Source organism: Homo sapiens, chromosome 15, assembly GCF_000001405.40.
Source record: "Homo sapiens chromosome 15, GRCh38.p14 Primary Assembly".
Taxonomy (NCBI): domain Eukaryota; kingdom Metazoa; phylum Chordata; class Mammalia; order Primates; family Hominidae; genus Homo; species Homo sapiens.
Window position 1 is genome coordinate 37,482,992 of NC_000015.10, and position 22,259 is coordinate 37,505,250.

Consider the following 22,259-nt stretch of genomic DNA (forward strand, 5'->3'; position numbering starts at 1 on the left):
ACTGCTGATGAAGACATACCTGAGACTGGGTAATTTACAAAAGAAAGAGGTTTAATTGGAATTAGAGTTCCACGTGGCTGGGGAAGCCTCACAATCATGGCAGAAGGCAAGCAGGAGCAAGTCCTGTCTTACATGGATGGCAGCAGGCAAAGAGAGAGCTTGTGCAGGGAGACTCCAGGTTTTTCAAAACCATCAGATCTTATGAGACTTATTCACTATCACCAGAACAGCATGAGAAAGACCTCCCCTCATGATTCAATTACCTCACACTGGGTCTCTCCCACAACATGTGGGAATTCAAGATGAAATCTGGGTGGGGACACAGCCAAACCATATCACTCTGCCGCAGTACCTCCCAAATCTCATGTCCTCACATTTCAAAACCAATCATGCCTTCCCAACAGTACCCCAAAGTCTTAACTCATTTCATCATTAACTCAAAAGTCCACAGTTTAAAGTCTCATTCGAGGCAAGGCAAGTCCCTTCTGCCTATGAGCCTGTAAGATAAAAAGCAAGTTAGTTACTTCCTAGATACAGTGGGGGTACACGCATTGTGTAAATACAGCCATTTCAAATGGGAGAAATTAACCAAAACAAAGGGGCTACAGGGCCCATGCAAGTCCAAAATCCAGTGGGGCAGTCAAATCTTAAAGCTCCAAAATGATCTCCTTTGACTCCATCTCTCATATCTGGGTCATGGAGGTGATGCAAGAGATGGGTTTCCATGGTCTTGGGTATTGGGAAGTCCCACCCCTGAGGCTCTGCAGAGTACAGCCTCCCTCCAAGCTGCTTTCATGGGCTGGTGTTGAGTGTCTGCAGCTTTTCCACGCACATGGTTCAAGGTGACAGTGGATCTACCATTCTGGGGTCTGGAGGATGGCGGCCCTCTTCTCACAGCTCCTAGGCAGTACCCCAGTAGGGACTTTTGTGTCGGTACTCTGACCCCACATTTTCCTTCTGCACTGCTCCATAAGAGGCCCGCCCCGCCCCAGTAGGGACTCTTGTGTTGAGACTCTGACCCCACATTTTCCTTCTGCACTGCTACATGAGAGGCCCACCCCTGCAGCAAACTTCTGCCTGGACATCCAGGTGTTTCCACACATTCTCTGAAATCTAGGCGGGGCTTCCCAAACCTCAGTTCTTGACTTCTGTGCACTAGCAGGCTCAACACCATATGGAAGCTGCCAAGGCTTGGGGCTTGCACCCTCTGAAGCCACAGCATGAGCTCTACATTGGTCCTCTTTCAGCCATGGCTGGAGCAGCTGGGACACAGGGCACCAAGTCCCTAGGCTGTAGACAGCATGGGGACCTTGAGCCCAGACCACAAAACCACTTTTTCCTTCTATGCCTCTGGGCCTCTGTGATGGGAGGGGCTGCTGCAAAGGTCTCTGACATGCCCTGGAGACATTTTCCCCATTGTCTTGGGGAATAAGATTCTGCTCCTCATCACTTATGCAAATTTCTGTGCTGGCTTGAATTTCTCCCCAGAAAATGGGACTTTCCTTTCTATTGCATTGTCAGGCTGCACATTTTCCAAACTTTTATGCCCTTCTTGCCTTACAAAACTGAATGTCTTTAACAGCACCCAAGTCATATCTTGAATGCTTTCCTGCTTAGAAATTTCTTCTGCCATATACCCTAAATCATCTCTGTCAAGTTCAAAGTTTCACAAGTCTCTAGGGCAGGGGCAAAATGCTGCCAGTCTCTTGGCTAAAATGTAACAAGAGTCACCTCTGCTTCAGTTCCCAACAAGTTCCTCATCTCCACCTGAGACCATCTCATCCTGGACTCCATTGTTCATAACACTATCAGCATTTTTGTCAAAGCCATTCTTAAGTCTCTAGGAAGTTCCACTCTTTCCCACATTTACCTGTCTTTTTCTGAGTCCTCCAAACTGTTCCAACTCTTACCCAGTTCCAAAGTCACTTCCATATTTTCAGGTATCTTTTCAGCAACACCCCACTCTACTATATTTACTATATTTGCCCATTTTCACACTGGTGATAAAGACATACCTGAGACTGGGTAATTTACAAAAGAAGAGGTTTAATTGGACTTACAGTTCCATGTGACTGGAGAAGCCTCACAATCATGGTAGAAGGCAAGGAGTAGCAACTCTCATCTTACATGGTTGGCAGCAGGCAAAGAGAGAGCTTGTGCATGGAGACTCCCGTTTTTCAATACCGTCAGATCTCATGAGACTTATTCACTATCATGAGAAGAGCATGGGAAAGACCTGCCCCCATGATTCAATTAACTCCCACCGGGTCCCACCCACAACATGTGGGAATTCAAGATGAGACTTGGGTGGGGACACAGTCAATCGATACCATTAGGCATGAATCCATCATTTCCTTGCTACTGTGCCCTCCTCCAAGATAATAAAAATAAAACAAAACAACAAAAAACACAAAGGACAAGGCTGTAATAAATTTTATAATTAGAAATTGGACCCAACTCACCCATGGATGATGGAAGTCACCCAGAAACATAATCTTTCACAAAGCAAAGGGCACCCCAGATGCTTTTCCCCATCTAAATCTCCCTCAGATTCTCACACAGGGCTCTAGACACTCCCTTTTTCACACCTGTCATTGTGAATGATGAGTCTCCCACCACACGGCAATTACCACCCTTTGTCTCTTGAAAGTGTTTTATTTCTTAAATCTTTTTAAAATGTGTGGGAGGGTACTTGGTAATTTTTTTTCCTATGCTTGACTATTGGAGGTAGGTTACCTTTCAAATCTTTAAAAAATTGTTTTCAGGGTCATAATCTAAACTCAAGTTGAAGGAAAAAATACAAAACAATTTTGCCTGTTAATGGCAGGTTACCAAAAACTCTTGCCCTTGGAGTTAATGGGTCCTGATCATCTTTTGAAAAGCATTTGGTTTCTTCAATTTTCCACCAGGGCACTTACAACACGAAACACAAAAACTACTTTGGCTTGTGAAGGCTGCTTTCTTTGTCATCCTTGGGATTGTGTCAAATTAAAGTCTTTCTATTCATTGTCTCCCCCATCCCCACTCCATGGAGTGGGAGGCAGTGATTATAATCATCTGCTGCATTTTAATAGTAATACCTTACCTATTAAATTACATATCTAATTACATTACATTTACCAACACAAGATTTTATAAAAATTTAACCTAAGGCCAAAAAAGAAAACTCACGTACATTATCCTGCACAGACTCAAGCATATTTGCATCAACAACTCCACAGACAACCCGGTCCCTCCTCACCAAGTGTTATTTGGGTGTCCCTTCTCCAGGAACAATTTCCTGAAACTCCTCTACATGTTGCAGTAGATTGCATCCTACCAGTGTGCTGGAATGCTGTTTTTGCATTGCGCTCCCCTGTTATTACTAGGATTATAGACTTTACATCTACCATTACTCTTTCACTCCAAGCAGGGTATTGCCCTTCTCCAGTATATCTTTGGAAGGCCATCATGTTCTTTACTGTGAACCTCAGGAAAGCTTCTCTGTACCTGAGCTCCCTGTCTGTGTTCATCCTGTTGGCCCATGTTGTTTGCTTTTGAAATCTTTCTATGGTTTCTTTATGCATATGAAAGTAAATATCAATATACTCTTAATCTTCTAGACTAGGTAGTACATAATATGAAAGATCTCCAACCCAGCTTTTTCCACCTAACAATACATCTTGGAGACATAAGTGTCCATTTTTGCTTGGAAACTAAATTAAAAAAAAAAATCAGAATCTCTACTTGTGCAGTACCATGGCTCCTGGTAAACACCATAAAATGCTGTTTCCATTTGCTTTACTTTCAATCACTGTGTGCCTCCTAGAATTTGAGTTATAATTATTTTTAATTAAATGTGTGAAATTTTAAATGACTTAAATATAACAAAATTTAAGAACAGAAATATAACCTCATCTAGACATCAGTATTGATGAAGTAGAAAGAGGCTCAAGGAAATTTCAAGTTAAATCTCCCTCATTTATTGCTACTGAAAATTAAAATCTAAAATTCAAAAATCTAAGTTTGTTACTTTTTCTCCAGAAATGAACACTTTGCCAGAATATAAATGTTCTAATTCACTTGTTGAGAATTTTAGTATGAAAAAAGAAATGTGGTTGGGATATGAAATACTTGGCTTTATTAGATATGCATGGCAGTTATACATTGGAAATACTAGTTCATTCTTTTCCTTAGAAAAATAAAACAGTAGCCTGTTTTTCTGATCAAGAGAGTACTGTTTCTCACTAGCCTTTTAATAACAAGATTCTTGGTTGAACTAGAAAACTAGGGTCAGAAAACTCAGTTTAATCTGTTAAAATTTTTATAAATATTATGAAAAGATGGCAAAGTACTTAAAACGAATATCAATGATGCTTTATATATCTTTACTTAGCTATAATAGTTAACTGTAACAGTTCATTTTCATTTAGAATCTGTTTAATATAAACATTTCAAAAACTGCCTTTCTTGTAATTTTAACAAACTACCTGAAAGTGCTCTGTTGGAAATAAAATATATAAGAGGTTTGCTTTATTTTGTTTCTCATGCATTTCTGATTTTATGACATAACACGATTATTTCCTGCCTCAGGATACTACCTGGTCTCAGACATAGAATCCTTTAATTGTTTGAGAGACTGTGAGTAACGTTTTACCCTGTAAGATATAGTTGAGTAGACATTTTTCAACCTCTCTTCATACAATCTATGATTATGTGGTCTTACACAATGCATGGAACCTTCTTGTTAAAGCGCTATGAAACTGCCTGCTGATACACATGTCCTGATACCTTTTCCCCTAAAAGAATTTGACTCTAAAGTCTCTTGGCTTCTGTTTTGCTGTCCTAGGCTTCTTTGAAAACAGACAATAACAACAAAACTTATACTTCCACCTGCCATCTGCTTTCTTTCCTATTAGTAAAAAGCTGGAAACAAAATCAAACCTAAATTAGCTAGGATTTGGGGTAAGAAAAACTCTCAGTGAGAAAGTCATTAATACATATATTCTATGTATAAAATATGCTTCTCCATTTTACTTTGCTTAAAGTAGTGAAGTTCATTGTCTTTCACGTGCTTCAAGCAATTCAAAAGAATAGCATTACAAACTCAGTCTTCTGTGTTTACATTTAGCATAATAGAGAATTATGAATCATTTCCACTCAGTTGGTATATTTAATTTTCAAAAAATATTATAAAATGAAGTAACTATTAGTATAAAAATACCTTGAGATGACATTTGATTGCAGTGCAAGGTGTTTATTTTACTAAAGTACCTTGAACTAATTGCATTTATTTTTTATACATATGCCATTATAACCAACAATTCATCCTATTATAGTAATTTCACTTTTTCCCCCAAACTTGGGAGATAATCTGCATTTTCCTCTAAATTTTGGTAATGTTTCTTAATTATAAGGGAAATATTTCTTTGCCCTTACACCTCCCTTGTGGGAGAATGCTTTGATCTCTCTAGAAGTTTAATTGCATTTCATGGAATGGCTCCTCTTTGCAATTAGGTCTATACTTGTATGCTTCATGTGTTTTCTTTCATGTTTTTATTCAATCAATTCTGTGGCAAATTTTCTGTCTCACCAATGTTTCCTTTCATCTTAGTTTCTGGTAACAGTAACTTCTGAGTAGCTACATTCTTTCATCTGATAAAGATAGACTCTCTGATCATCCTTGAAGTATTTTGGAAAGTTTGTTTTTGATTACTTTAATTGTTCTTCCCTTATACAGATAGTTAATGAACAGTTCAAGTTAAGATATTGTCATATCTCTTGTTGGGTCCATTCTACTAGGAAAGTGATCATCATTGATAGGGCAAACATAGTCTTATGTTTTCCTACTCATTAAATAAAATGGGCTAGTTAAATGGTAGTGGAATTATTTGGCTTACTTTTCTGAAAACAAGAAAATAAGTTTTTTATCATGGTAAGTGGCAGACATCTGTCCAGATTTACATCCAAAGAGAGTATAGTAAAGTTTTAGCCAAATTATAACCTGCTTCTTGGTTTTCTTTCTCATGTTCATTCTGCAGTCTCCCCCAAAACTCAGTATTAGCATTATAGGTCTCTGATACTAAGATAGGAAAGGGCCAGGTATCTTGAGCAAAAAAGAAAGCAGCCAAATAAATGCAGTCCTGTGCACACTGTTTTGTCTCTTATACTAGCAAATCAATTATATTTACAAAATATGGTCTTATGTTTGGAAATGGGCCAAAAGTTTCATTAGCAATTCTGAATAAAGGTTTAATGATCCCAGAGATTACCAGTAATGTTGGAGAGTCAATTTGTATCTCAGTTTCTCCATCTATAAAGATGAAAGAAAGAAACCCAGCCATAATATCCAATTACCTTCGAGATACATACATTGGCCAAGGTTTCAGAGATGTGTATAAAAAGGGCTTTTCAGGTGTCTGAAATTAACTTGTTTAGTAATGTTTTACACCAAATAAATGCTCAACCACTAAAGTACTCAACTGTAGCTAATTTATTCAGTTATTCTTTTATTTGTTTATTCACCAATCTCTTCAAAAATATTTGTTAAGCCAGAAATTATACTAAGAAATTATACTTAGCACTGTAGATACAGAACTGAACAAGAAAGACAAAGTCTGAGCTCTTGGTGTAGCTTATATTCTACTTGAAGACTGAGGGGAAAACAAATGTAAAAGTGTATTGTGATAGTAACTGAGTGGTGGTGCTCTTTAGAGTAAATGATCCAAGAAATCCTCTTTGAGAGGGTAAAATTTGGGTCCATCTGAAGTAACAGAGAGTTGTCCAGGCAGAGAAGCATCAAGCAATAGCCCTGAAGGGGAAAAGAGCTTATTCAGTTAAAAAAAAAAAAAAAAAAGAAGACGACGACCAAGATGGTTTAAGGGTAGTGCATGAGATAGACAGTAGTATGAGATGAGGTTTTAGAGGCGCAAAGGGATGTATCGTGTCCATCTTAGAAAACACAATAAAGACTTCAGGATTATTCTAACTATAATAGGACACTTTTGTAGAGTTAAGCACGGGTGTCATGATCTAATCTGATTGTCTGCTGTGTAGACAATGAATTCTAGGAACACAGAACAGAAACAAAGGCAATGGGTAGGAGACTCCTGAAGTCGTGTGAGTGGGCAGGGATGTCAGCTGCAGAGTTGGTAACCAGAGCTTGGATTTGTGGTATATTAGAGATGAAGCTTAAAGGCCTCATTATACCTTAGACTTAAGGAGAGATGAGAAAGAAAGAGGAATCAAGATCACATCGAGATTTTCTTGCTTGAACAACTGGGTAATAGTTGGTGGTGTTTACTCAGATGAGGAGATAGAATTAGGAAGGGCAGAAGGGCAGTGCATCAAGAGTTTAATTTTAACCCTGTTGCCTTAAAGCTGCCTGTTAGACACCTAAATGCTGATGTCAAGTATACAGCTGTATATACGAATATGGCAGTCTGGTCAAGGCTGAAAACACACATTTAGCAGTAATAACCACATAGATGGAATTGCAAGTGCGGAAAGGATCACTCAATAGGAAAAAAAAAAAAAAAAAAGATTGCCCAGAACAGAGTCCTAGGTCTTTCCAATATACACAGGCTGAACAGAGGGGAAAGAGCCAAGCAAGGAGACTCAAGTTAGAGAGTAAACAGGAGCGTATCATAACCTATAATTCACAGTATAAAGTTTCAAGAGAAGGGACGTGGATGACCGTTTAAAATGCTTCTGCGGCAAGATGACAGACGTAGAGCAGAAGAAGCGGACCTTCCGCAAGTTCACTTACCGCGGTGTGGGCCTGGACCAGATGCTGGACGTGCCCTACGAGCAGCTTATGCAGCTATACAGTGCGCGTCGGCAGCAGCGTTTGAACCGGGTCTGGGGCGGAAACAGCACTCGCCGCTGAAGCGCCTGCGCAAGGCCAAGAAGGAGGTACCGCCCATGGAGAAGCCGGAAGTGGTGAAGACGCACCTGTAGGACATGATCATCTTGCCTGAGATGATGGGCAGCATGGTGGGCGTCTACAACGGCAAAACCTTCAGCCAGGTGGAGATCAAGCCGGAGATGATCGGCCACTACCTGGGCGAGTTGTCCATCACCTACAAGCCCGTGAAGCACTGCTGGCCCCGCATTGGGGCCACCCCTTCTTCATCCTCCTCAAGTAGTGGCTTAGCTAATAAAGGCACATCTATCTCAAAAAAAAAAAAAAAAAAAAGCTTCTGAAAGATCAGGGAGATAAGAATTTTCCAAGGTAGAAGTTATTGTTGGTTTTGATCAAGCCGGTTTAAAGGTGTGAATTGGGATGAAAACCCAAGGTGATGAGGAGTAGTTAGAAGCAGGGGGCACATTTTTATGCAGCTGCATCTCCATAGTTACCATTAATGCTCATTAGCATTTTAAGAATTAATTCCTAACCTCGGATTTTTAATTTCTTTTGTTTGTTTTGGGGGCATTTATTTGTCAACTATCTATTCCACTTATTTCATGTGCAAAGCACCGTCCTAGACTCTTGGAATTTTTATTAATGAGTAAGGCAAGCGAAGATCCTTGCCTTCAGGTACCTTGCCTTCTAGTGGAAGAGACAAACACAAAACAATAAAAATAGTAAATAACTATGTCACATAGGTGAGAAAAAAATGTGAAATACAGCAGAGTTAAGAAAACCCCTCAGTCCTGGGGCTGCAATTTAAATAAGGTGGTCATTGTAAGCCTCATTAAGATGATGATGTTTGTGCAAAACATTGAAGAAAGTAAGAGTTCAGTTAAGTGGTTACCTGGAGGAAAAGCATTCCAGATAGAGGACATTGCTGGTGCAAAAGTCCTGGGGCAGAGGAGTAACAGGGAGGTCACAATGACTCCAAAGTGATGTGAACAAGAGGATCAGTTGGGAAAGAAGGTTATGGGGTCAGCACGGGCCACCTTAGGGACTCTTAAAAATTTTGAATGAGATGGAGAACAATGAATTTCAGAATTCTGAGAAGGCAGTGACATGATTTGTCTTACCTGACAATAAATCAGCCAAGATATAATGGTGCTTTGGATCAAGGTAAAAGTAGAAGTGACGAGAAATAATGGAGTCTGCAAACATTTCAACAGCGAAACTGATAGGATTGTTTCATACATCAGCTGTTAGGTATAATAGAAAGAGAATAGTTGAGGATGACTACAGGGATATTGAACTAAAGTCTTGGAGGATACAGCTGCCAACAGTTGAGAGATTAAAGTGGCAGGTGAAATAGTTTTAGGGATTCATGCTACTTAAGATGAGACAGTCCAGTGGAGATGTAGTTTGTTACCTTGCACAGTGACTGTTAAGAGTTTCCAGAACTATGATAAATCTATTAATGCTACTTGCTCAGCTTTACTTAAAGCCTTTTAGGTAAGTCCCTCAAATATACCAGATCAAGTCAAGTTCCCTATGGGGAACGTCAGAACAAACAAAACTGTAAATACCCGCAAATCTATAGACCAAGAACACATCATGGGTGATGCTAATAGAGGAGGCTAACCAGGCATATTAATAGTTTGACTTACCCAGACTAAATGTTTTAGAACTTTAAGCCTCATATTTTAGATCCCTAGGGTAGAGCAAAACTCAATTCAGTCTTTTCCTTATAATTTATGCATCAAGTCTACATATTGAGTATTAAAAAATGGGAGCGAGAGAGGGTTATCACCAAATAATAACACAACAACAATGTTATCAACAAATGGCAAAACTCGACACGGTATCATATGTTGGCAATCAAAAGATCTCCTTGACCCAGTTTATCTTTGGCAAATATCTCTCTGTACGTGTCTCTCATAAACTATGACAAGGGCCAAGAGATAATGACAGGCACAGTCAATCCTTCAGAAAACTACAAGTTTTAAGAACAAACAGGAAAATGGGCAATAACTATACCGCTGATATGAAGTATCCGATGTAATTAATGATTGCCATCACATGTTCCCTATTAGCCTGACTTGCATCAGCACAAGGAAAAGTTCAGGGTCTAAGAGCTAATTGGGAAAAATATCACTAAGCTTTAGGGTCAGTTAATTAACAGTCAAGTCATATTTTTCATGGATTAAGTCAGGCTCTTCCTTTTGACCTCATTTAATTGCTGCTTTTAAAGACCACTGGAACAGTACTCTTGCGTACATAAAACATATTGAGATTCATCTGTTCTCCTGAGGTGTGATGAGACAAGAACTTTAAAACACTGGGGTGGAAGTGTAAATTGGCATAATCTTTGTGGAAAGCAATAGATATTGTGTATTATGTGGCAATACATATTACTGTGTAATAATACATGTGTGGCAATACATATTTAGTGGCATAGAAATGGTGGTACTTTTACCATACTTATAAGGTTCTTCCTATGGAAATGTGGATAATGATTAACATATAAGTGTGTTTATCACAGCACTATTTATAACAGTAAAAACGTGGAACCCTAAAGGCCAAAAATTAAAGAAGTCCTCAAATAAATTACAATTCATTGGCATATTACATAATACTAAAAAGGGAAAATACAGAAAATGAATGACATAAGAACATCTTTATGATTTAAAGTTGAAGTTCATTGAAGCAGCATGTGAAAGTTTAAATATGCATTATATAAAAATATTTTTGCATACTTCTTAGACATACAGAAATGGAATACAGACATAGTAATTATTTCTGCATTGTAGATAATGGGTTCTGATTAATTTTGCCAATTTTCTTGGTTTTCCATGTTTCTTTTAATAATCTCCAAGTAATTATTTTATAAACAGAAACATAATACCACCTGTTCTTTAGCAAACAAAGTTGTAAGCCTTTCAGTTTCGTTTTTCTACCTCTTCAGTTTTTGGTCACTTTAGGAAAAAAATAAATCTGGTTGTAATTTCTGTTTTCTTATGAACCTAGTACTCATCAGGAAAAATGAGTTTAATTCTTATGAACACATTTCATCGTAATTCTTGGGCTAGATATTGTTATAGCTTATGGTCCATTCCAGGGAGCAAATTTAGATGCTAAAACTTATGAATGTTTTGTTTTAAAATTTCTTTGAATTAGAAATTAGAGAAGGTTTTTCTATTTTCATCATTTGATAGTATAAAATAAATAACTTTAATTGCTTGTAGCAAACAAAAATATTTAATTTTGGATATAATATTTCATGTATTTTGTATGTAATATATTTTGAATAAAAATATACCTTAATTTTTATTTTCTTTATGAGAATAATAACAATTATAATTTTCTAAAATATAGAAAGAAAACATTTATCTTTTTGGTATCAATATTGAATCACTGTGATTCTTGTCTCCACTATGAAATATATGATATAATTTCTCAGCAAACATGATAACTAAAAGGCTAATAAAACTTTAATTTTCAAATAAGTGAAGGTGCAGCCAGGTTCAGCCATGAGGCTCTGAAATACTTTTTGCTTGTTAGGATAAAATCAAATTGTCACAATCTGTCACCAATTCTACTGAGAAGCAAATACAACTACCTGTTGACAGATGGAGCTGTGCTGATAAAATCCATCACATAAATATTTCTGCATATTTCTGAAGAAAAAAGATGTTGCCATTTTTAATAAGCATTTAAATAAGGGCAATTTGTCATTTCAAACAATAAAAGCATTTCTTTAATAATGTAAATAAAGGGATATCTTGGCAAATACAAAATCACCTCCATCTGAGAGAACTAATTTATATTTAGAAAAGTACCTATATTTATTTCCACTTTTCATAGTTAGCACTTAAATAGAGCCAAATATTTTAATGACCAATGACTATGATGTCCTTCTATTGAACATTTCCATTCCTCTTCCTAAAATGCAAATTATGTATTGATTTTTAAGGGGCTGAATGCCTTAAAAATCTGTACTTAGTACAGTATTTTAAAACGTTGAAAGCACAACTTAATCAAAAATTGCCCACACAAAGAACTAACATTTATTAACTGATTTGACCTTAAGCTTATTAGCACTGCTGGCAATAATGAATCCATCTGCTAAGACAGCAATTCTTACATCTATACACAATTCCGATTCATATTAATCCTGACAGAGTCATGTCTGTTTCAATGTGATCTTCAAAATCATCTGAGAGGGCTTGAATGCATTTAGATTTCTGGGCCCCACATTGTAGCTACTGAAGTAGAATCTCTGAAAGTGAAGCTCTGGGAATCAACTTTTCTCATGCCCCTCAGGCATGAGAAATTATATAGACATTAAGTTGAACAAAATACAGTAGGCCGGTATTTGGATATGCTTTGTAAGAAATGAATAAACTGTAATTTTCAAATGACAGTAAATTATTTTAAGCCTACCTACCTATCTATGGTGACTTTTTTTTAGAAGACTTTATTTTCTTAGAGCAGTTTTAGGTTCGCCACAAAACTGAGAGAAAGACACAGAGATTTCCCATATGTCCCTTGCCCTGATACATGTATAGCCTCCTCCATTATCAACATCCCCATCCAAAGTGGTACATATATTACAATTGATGAACCTACATCGACATGTCATTATCACCCAAAGTCCATAGTTGCTATGGGGATTTAATCTAGGTGTTGTACAGGGGTGTGGCAAATGTATAGTGACATGTATCTACCATTAGAGTATCACACAGAGTATTTTCACTACCCTAGGAATCCTCTGTGCTTTACCTATTCATTCCTCCTTCCCCCTTCACCACTGGCAACCACTGATCTTTTTCCTGTCTCCATGGTTTTGCGTTTTTCAGAATGTCATGTAGTTCAAATCATACAGTAAGTAGCCTTTTCAGATTGGCTTCTTTTACTCACTAATATACATTTAAGGTTCCTTTATGCCTTTTCATGACTTGATAGCTCAAGCTTGTTAGCTTTCTTTTAGTGCTAAATAATAGTCCATTGTCCCCACCAGTTGACAATATACCCATGTAACCAAAAAGCACACGTAACCCCTGAATCTGAAATAAAATTTTGAAAAATAATAATTAAAATGTCCATTGTCTAGATGTACCACAGTTAATCCATTCATTCACTGAAGAACATCTTGGTTGCTTCCAAATTTTGGCAACTGTAAGGCTGCTATTAAACATTCATATGCAAGTTGTATGTAGATACATATTTACTTTTATTTTGACTATTTGTAACATCTATGGATAAAATGTGTTTTCAATAATAATTTTACTACTACTAGTTCTAATTATCTAATAATAAGTTTTCAAATATCTTGAGATCTTGAGCTATAGAAACACAATATGCCCCCCCTTCCATGGGCAGATGCATTTTCAGAAGATACCATGTTGGTAATGAATAAGATGCCTTTGGTGATTCTGAGACCACTCTTCCTCAAAAGAATTCCACAGACACTGGCTGGCCTCAGACATTCAACAGTGCTGAGGACACTTTTTTTCTGGCATAATATCTTTGTGATTGTGCCCATGTGCCATATTCATTAAGGCTATAAGATATTAGATATTAGAACAAGGAAGGGCTAGGAAAATATTAAGGATATGTGTTCTCTTGCATGGATGTGAATGGTTTTCTGGGCATGCAATCTCTCTATTCATTTTCCCATTTCCTCAAGATTATGCTAAATTGAGTAAACAAAAGTGAAAGGAAAGAATCACTCTCCCAAACACTCCAAAACTGAGAAAAAAATTATTTTGAAGGTGATAGTGAAGAGGGTATTTTAGAAAACCAGTACATCTCTGTACGTTTGCATTCCTATGACTAATTTTAACTTAGAAGTTCCAATATGCCAGGGCCAATCTTCATTGGTATGGTATTTAATCCTAACCACCTAAGGCAAGCATTTAATAGGTATGTTTCAGACCAGAATACCACTAAGCACTGTTTTGCACTATGACTTAACATTTCTTGTAGTTCAAAATCACTATTTTTCTATAGAAACTTGGGATATAACACATCTCTACATTCATAAAGTATATAAATGGTTTCTTCTCGCATACCACTCTTCAATTTTCCTTTGGAAAATCTGATGCTCATATTTTCATGCAAGCATTATTTACTTTTTGATTGAAAACACAAAGTCATTTCTATTTATGAACACTTTCTTGTAATAAAACCTGGCATTTCTCATCACTACAATTCGCAGTCTACTTTTATAAAATTTAATGCATGTCAAAAATGTGCATGGTCTGGAAAATAAAAAGACAAAGAAGGAAACTTCTATATATCAGTAAATGTCATAAATGGGCTTATCAAGGAAAGAATTCTAATAATCTAGACCTAGCCTGTAGAATATGGTAGCTGTTAACAACATGTGGCTATTGAGCACTTGAAATGTTCAAATTATAATGAGCTATAAGTAAAAAATACACACACGACTTTGAAGACATGTAAAAATTGATAAAATACCACATTAACAACGTTTTGTATTGGTTACAAGATGAAATGATAATATTTTGGATAGGATGTTTAAATAAAATATGCTGTTAAATTGATTTCACTTGATTTTTGTGTTTTTAAAATTTTCTTACTTTTTTCATGACATGGTTACTAGAAAATTTAAAAATTATATATATGGCTCACAATCTATTTCTATTGGAAAGGACTGATCCAGATTAATAAATGTACTGCCATTGTTCCATGTAGTAATTGGTATTGGGAATATTGGAGATTATTATATTGTTTGGTAGTGGGAGGGTTTCTATAGAAACTCTTCTATCAACTGGTTTTAGGTGGATTAGCTGGCCTAATTAAATCTAAGCTGTTAAAAGAGCCCCAGAGGAAGGAGGGGGAAGGAAATGGGACTCCAACAAGCTTTCCGAGTCCTCAAGTCACACACTCCTGGTTGACTGGTCTGCTTAGCCAAGCTAAAACTGGTCTTATTGTCATGTTGGGCACATTAATTGGAAAGCAGATTAATTTGCAAGAATGAGTTAGTGCCCTTTAAAAGGTGATTTAAAATTCAAAATGATGGAAATGGAATAAAAGCATGCTTGTCTGATCATTCCTCAGAGTCCATCTTGAAATCCCTACCATTTTTCTATTTTCATTGTTAGAATTCAAGTACAGGATAAACTGTTTAAGAGATTCCCAAACATTACGCTCTACACCTTAGCACCAATAATTACCCTTCTGTGAAAGACAGACGGGGAATTTTTGTCATCAGACACATGGGGATTATAAGTGAAAATAAAATCTGCAGGTTTAGTCAGTTTTCCACATATGCAAATGAAACATAAATATCACTGCAATACCATCAAATATATTTGTGACTGAATGGAGAGATTTTTGCCTTTAGTGAACTAGAAGCTTACAAGGAATTTGAGAAAGCATCATCACCTCTAATATAGCGCTACCACAGTCTAATATAAGACTAATATGAAGTTATATTTATGCTCATTTTATAGTTATGGATAACTTTATGTCCATTATAAACATTTAATCCTTACAAATAAGAATGACATTGGCCGGGCGCGGTGGCTCACGCTTGTAATCCCAGCACTTTGGGAGGCCGAGGCGGGCGGATCACGAGGTCAGGAGATAGAGACCATCCTGGCTAACACGGTGAAACCCCGTCTCTACTAAAAATACAAAACAAATTAGCCGGGCGTGATGGTGGGCGCCTGTAGTCCCAGCTACTCGGGAGGCTGAGGCAGGAGAATGGCGTGAACCCGGGAGGCGGAGCTTGCAGTGAGCCGAGATTGCGCCACTGCACTCCCGCCTGGGCCACAGAGCGAGACTCCGTCTCAAAAAAAAAAAAAAAAAAAAAAAAAAGAATGACATTATAATTTCCATTTTGAAGACAAAAAAATAGATACTCAGAAAAGTGAAGTTAATTATCCAGCCACTTGCAGTTGAATTTTTTGACTGTATATCTTCCTGTATCACAGCTAGGAAGCAAAAACTGTATTGCCAGCCCAAAGACCAAACCTGGAGCTTTTAGGCAAGGCCTGGTAAATATGAATGATATAAAGGAAAAAATGGGTGTGACTCTACTATGGAAAACAGTGTATTTAAATAATGTATCCTTAATTTTGGAATTTACAGAATATGAACTTGGAGAGTTGTTCATTTTTTTAGGTATCATGCATATACTTCTCATTATATGGTATAACAAAACCACATCTTACTATCATTTGATAAAGCAATCTGTGTCAATTTTAATTCCATAACCTGAGATCTTTGGCCCAAAGGAGGTAATAACATAAGAGCAAGAGTTCCAAGTAATCATTTTTCGTTACTAATTTATCAGAAGTCCTCACACAAAATATATAAAAATGGCACAATCTTAGAAGAAAAAGCCTTAAGTACTAAGTGGGAGTTTTGTAAAAACGGAAGTAAGCTACAAGTTTACCAAAGCTAATTGATACCTTTCATGTAAATCTATTTATATCATAGCTTTAAGTGGCTAACATGGTGAAACCCTGTCTCTACTAAAAATGCAAACAATTAGCCAGGCGTGGTGGCAGGCACCTGTAGTCCCAGCTACTCAGGAGGCTGAGGCAGGAGAATGGTGTGAACCCAGGAGGCAGAGCTTGCAGTGAGTCGAGGTAGCGCCACCGCACTCCAGCCTGGGCAACAGAGCAAGACTCCGTCTCAAAAAAAAACTAAATAAATAAGATAAAAATAAATAAATCAAATTCAGTACAACTTCTTAAATGTTGTCTTTAATAAAGAAAATTAAAAACCAATCAAAGCCAAGTTATAAACAAACTAGATAAAATCCACACACTCAAAGTATGTACTGGCCTTAACATACCTGGATTCAAATCCAACAGGATGACTTTGTCTTTGGTCACTAGCTGTTAATATATTCTGTATCCTGTGACTATTCAGCTATAGCTTATTGAATGAAATAACAAATGGCTGAAAGAAGAAATGAATGGCTGAAAGGTGTACTAGTGTGTACATGTACTTACACTTGTTTTTCCACACAACATTGATAGTTGCAGGGCTCCAGCCACATGTTTGCACTGAACCTTCTCTACAATAGGTTGCTGGCATTCAGCAAGTAGTACAAGAAGGGGCTAAGCATAAGAGCCTTCCTCTGTGCCAAACTGAGTTGTCATTTCAAAAATTAAACTCACAATTCTGGCTTTATCAGCACTGTCAGTCTAAACAAACCAGAAAGACCCATTTCCCAAAGTAGAAAACCATCAGTATCAGAGAGAAAATTGACACTTCATAATCCAAAGAGATAACATTGGGCCTAATAATGCTTCATCCCCGTACCCCTGTGTTTAGTTAACATGCCTTCTTCCCAGTTTGTCAGACATCAGACCATAATACAGTGGCTTTGGACTCATAAATACCTGGCAATGTAGCTCAGAATATGAGCCATACAGCTGGCTTGATTTTATATATATTTAACAATTTTATTAAATATTGAATGTATATCAAAGAATATTTATAAAGTATATTTAAAAATTTATAAAACTCACACTCGGGCATTCCAGATGATGAATACAGAGTGAAATGTTCTTCCTCTTTTAGATCCATGAAGTACAGGAATTTGAGATTGAGCCAGAATGAAAGAATGCATCTGTTAAAGCAATAGTTGACCAACATGTCTGGCTACTTCTGGTTCAATTTCTGCCTTAGTTCCGCTCAACACATGAAAAAGAATGGGTTGGAACAGAAAGTGGGCCCAATTTCACTATAAGTAAGCTATAACTACAGGGCACACAATTTAGAATGTTGAATGCCACATCCTCCCTTACTTGTGTCATTCAACACATGGATTTTAGGCTTAGTAGCTGCAGGGGGGCTTTGCACTGTACTTGGTGCCCAGAAGCCTCAGTCTCATCCTAATCCATTCCTCTTCTGATTTCTGGCATGAAGAGGTAGGGAATAAGGAGAGGTAGACCACTCTCCAATAAAAAATTTGCATGGTTTTTTTTTGTACAGAATCAGAATTATTCTACTATTACTTCCTACTTCAAAGCATTTCAGATTGATAGCAAGTTTTATCAATTTTTATTTACAGTGAAGTTTGTATTTTTGGAAAAATAAACATTAAAGAGGCAAAATTGGTGGCTTTATCCCTTTATTTATCATGCATATTAAATATACTCAATGCTTACTAGCCTTTGGGCACATTAACACATATGCCAGAGAGAAAGACAGACTCTGCCATTACAGTTTACACTTTGGTAGACAATAAAAAACCAAATCATAGTCATAGACCTCTCCTAGGAATTCTTTCTTACTTCTTTCTGTCCATCAGTATGTGAATTTCTATAATATTAGCTCTATAATATTAGCAGCAAGTTGTAGCTCCCTGAGAAGAAGGGCCCCTATTGTTCCTCCAGGTGGAGATGATGAGACGGGATCCTTCTGAGGAATATAATTCTGGAAGAGAAGTCAGTGACCCCAGGATACCTGACACAGATAGCCTAGCTGTAGGTTGTATATGCCAGATGCAAGGACACTTGCAAGTTTAACCAGTTTGCTGTTGAGGGCCAGGTTTGGGGAAAATGTGCCTTCTCAGAAAAAACTCTCCTGACTCTCTAATAATTTATTGAACCAAATATGCCATCAATTGTAAAATGCACTACCAAATTAAAAGCAGATAAATGGCAATTTTCTAAAACAAATATTAAAATGGAAAACTATAAATCGGACTAACTGAATTTTAGAGTTGAATATCTAGTCCTTTATATTATATTCTACAATAATTCAATTAATTTTACATATTGTAACCATTTCTGTATTTCTTTATTGCTTTTTCTATATGCCAAGATAAACAAGTATATATTTGGGAACTATAAAATATTTGAAAATGTGTTCTATATATACAATATTTTACAAATATGATCATATTTTAAAACTTTTTAAGCAATCCATAACCAGGTAAGTAGGTTAGTTTTCTTGATAATATTCCCAATTTGGCAAATATTATTGAATTTAAAAATAATATGAGGAAGAAGTAACAACATATTTTTCAGTATCCAGTTGGTGTCAAGCACCAACAAGTAAAAACTCTGTCTACAATGTTCTGAGTTTAAAGTAGTTCTGGAAATACATTGGTAAATAAGACAGAAATTATCTCTCCTTTAAAGGTCATGATCTTTTCTTAAAAGAAAAATTTCAGTGGAGCCAAGATGGCCAACTAGGAGCAGTGGTGATTGCAGGCTCCCATCGATAAGATCCAAAACAACATGTGAATCCTGCACCGGCAACCGAGGTATCCAGATTTTGTCATTAGAACTGACTAGGTGGCTGGCATGACTCATGGAGAGGAAGGAAGAGCAATGTGGTGCAGGCAGCCCACCTGAGAGCCACACGGGGCAGGGGAGCCCCCACACCCAGCCAAGGGAGTCGCTCTGAGAAATCTGGGCAGCCCAGATGAGTGGGTTCCCCAACCAGTGTAGCCCACGCCCTCCACCAAGGGAGAGCCAAAATGCCTCATTAAATGAGTCCTGCTTCCTGTGCCATCCAACTGGGTGAGAACCCACCAACAGGGGTTGTCAGACATCCTATACAGGAGCATTTCTACTGGCATCATGTTGGTGCCCTTTGAGGCCAGAGATCCCAAGGGAAGGAGCAGGCAGCCATCTTTGCTGTTCTCCAGCCTCCTCGAGTGACAACTCTAGATGAGTAAGGCCTGAAGAGAATCTCCAGGAAACCACAGCAGCCCTACAGAAGAGGGATCTGACTACTGAAAGAAAAACAGAAAGCAACAACAATAGCATCAACAACAAAAAAAGTCCCCATGAAAGCCTCATCAAAGGGTCAGCAGCCTGAAAGAGCAAAAGTAGACAAACCCATGAAGATGAGAAAGAATCAACAACAACACACACAAAAACCATTGAAAACCCACAAGGCCAGAGTGCCTCTCCTCCTCTAAATGATCACAATACCTCTCCGGCAAGGGCACAGAACTGGACAGAGGATGAGATGGATGAATTGACAGAAGGTCAATTCAGAAGGTGGGTAATAACAAACTGTGCTGAGATAAAGGAGCACGTTCTAACCCAGTGCAAAGAAGCTAAGAACCTTGATAAAAGGTTAGAGGAGCAGCTGTGAACTAAAATAACTAGTTTAGAGAGGAACATAAATGACCTGATGGAGCTGAAAAATGCAGCATGAGAACTTTGTGAAGCATACACAAATATCAGTAGCTGAATTGATCAAGCAGAAGAAAAAATATCAGAGATGGAAGACTATATTGCTGAAATAAGGCAGGCAGACAAGATTAGAGAAAAAAGAATGAAAAGGTATGAACAAAACCTCCAAGAAATATGGGACTATGTAAAAAGACTGAACCTACAACTGATTGGAGTACCTGAAAGAGACGGAGAGAATGGAAACAATCTGGAAAATACACTTCAGGGTATTATCCAGGAGACTTCCCCAACCTAGCAAGACAGGCCAACATTCAAATTCAGGAAATACAGAGAACCCCAGTAAGGTACTCCATGAGAAGACCAACCCAAAGAAACATAATCATCAGGTTCTCCAAGGTCAAAATGAAGAAAAAAATGTTAAGGGCAGCCAGAGAGAAAGCCCACATCACCTACAAAGGGAAGCCCATCAGACTAATAGCAGATTTCTCAGCAGAAACCCTACAAGCCAGAAGAGAATGGGAGCCAATATTCAACATTCTTAAAAAAAAAAAAGAATTTTCAACCCAGAATTTCATATCCAGCCAAACTAAGCTTCACAAGTGAAGGAGAAATAAAATCCTTTTCAGACAAGCAAATCCTGAGGGAATTCATCACCAGCAGTCCTGCCTTACAAGAACTCCTGAAGGAAGCACTACATATGGAAAGGAAACACCAGTTCCAGCCACAGCAAAACATAGGAAAATATGAAGACCAATGACACTATGAAGAAATGGGATCAACTACTATGCAAAATAACCAGCTAGCATCATGACGTCAGGGTCAAATTCACACATAACAATATTAACCATATATGTAAATGGGCTAAATGCCCCCAATAACAGACACAGACTGGCCAATTGGATAAAGAGTCAAGAACCATCAGTGTGCTGCATTCAAGAGACACATTTCATGTGTAAAAACACAGATAAACTCAAGATAAAGGGATGAAGGAAAATTTACAAAGCAAATGGAAAGCAGAAAAAATCAGGGGTTGCAATCCTAGTCTCTGACAAAGAGACTTTAAACCAACAAAGATCAAAACATACTACAAAGACGAGCATTACATAATGGTAAAGGGATCCATGCAACAAGAAGAGCTAACTATCCTAAATATATGTGCACCCAATACAGGAACACCCAGGTTCATAAAACAAGTCCATAGAGACCTACAAAAAGACTTGGACTTCCACACAATAATAGTGGGAGACTTTAACACCCTACTGTTAATATTAAACAGATGAATGAGACAGAAAATTAACAAGAATATTCAGGACTTGAACTCAGCTCTGGATCAAGTTTACCTAATAGATATCCACATCACTTTCTACCCCAAAACAACAGAATATACATTCTTCTCAGTGCCACATGGCACTTACTGTAAAATAGACCACATATTTGGAAGTAAAACACTCATCAGCAAATGCAAAAGAACTGAAATCAAAGAAACAGTCTCTCAGACCACAGTGCAATCAAATTAGAACTCAGGATTAAGAAACACTCAAAACCACACAACTACATGAAAATTTAACAACCTGCTCCTGAATGACTCCTAGGTAAATAATGAAATTAAGACAGAAATCAAGAAGTTCTCTGAAACCAATGAGAACAAAGAGACAACATACCAGAATCTCTGGGATGCAGCCAAAGCAGTGTTAAGAGGGAAATTTATAGCACTAAATGCCCACATCAGAAAGCTAGAAAGATCACAAATCAACACCCTAACATCACAATTAAAAAAAAAAAAACTAGAGAAGCAAGAGCAAACAATTCCAAAAGCAGGCATAAGACAAGAAATAACTAAAACCAGAGTGGAACTGAAGGAGATAGACACGAAAAAATCCTTCAAAAATCAATAAATCCAGGAGCTGTTTTTTTTAAAAAATTAATAAAAAAAAGACTACTGTTTAGAATCATAAAGAAGAAAAGAGAGAAGAATCAAATAGATAAATAAAAAATGATAAAGGGGATATCACCACTGACCCCACAGAAAAAGAAACCACCACCAGAGAATACTATAAACACCTCTATGCAAATAAACTAGAAAATCTAGAAGAAATGGATAAATTCCTGGACACATACAACCTCCCCAGACTAAATCAGGAAGAAGTCAAATCCCTGTATAGACCAATAACAAGTTCTGAAATTGAGGCAGTAATGAAAAGCCTATCAACCAAAAAAGCCCAGGACCAGGCAGATTCACAGCCAAATTCTATCAGAGGCACAAAAAGGAGCTGGCACCATTCTTTCAG

At 37.4% G+C, this 22,259-nt stretch overlaps 1 pseudogene; it reads left to right on the forward strand.

Annotated features, from left to right (window-relative positions):
* RPS15P8 (ribosomal protein S15 pseudogene 8) lies at positions 7,687-8,148 on the forward strand (annotated as a pseudogene).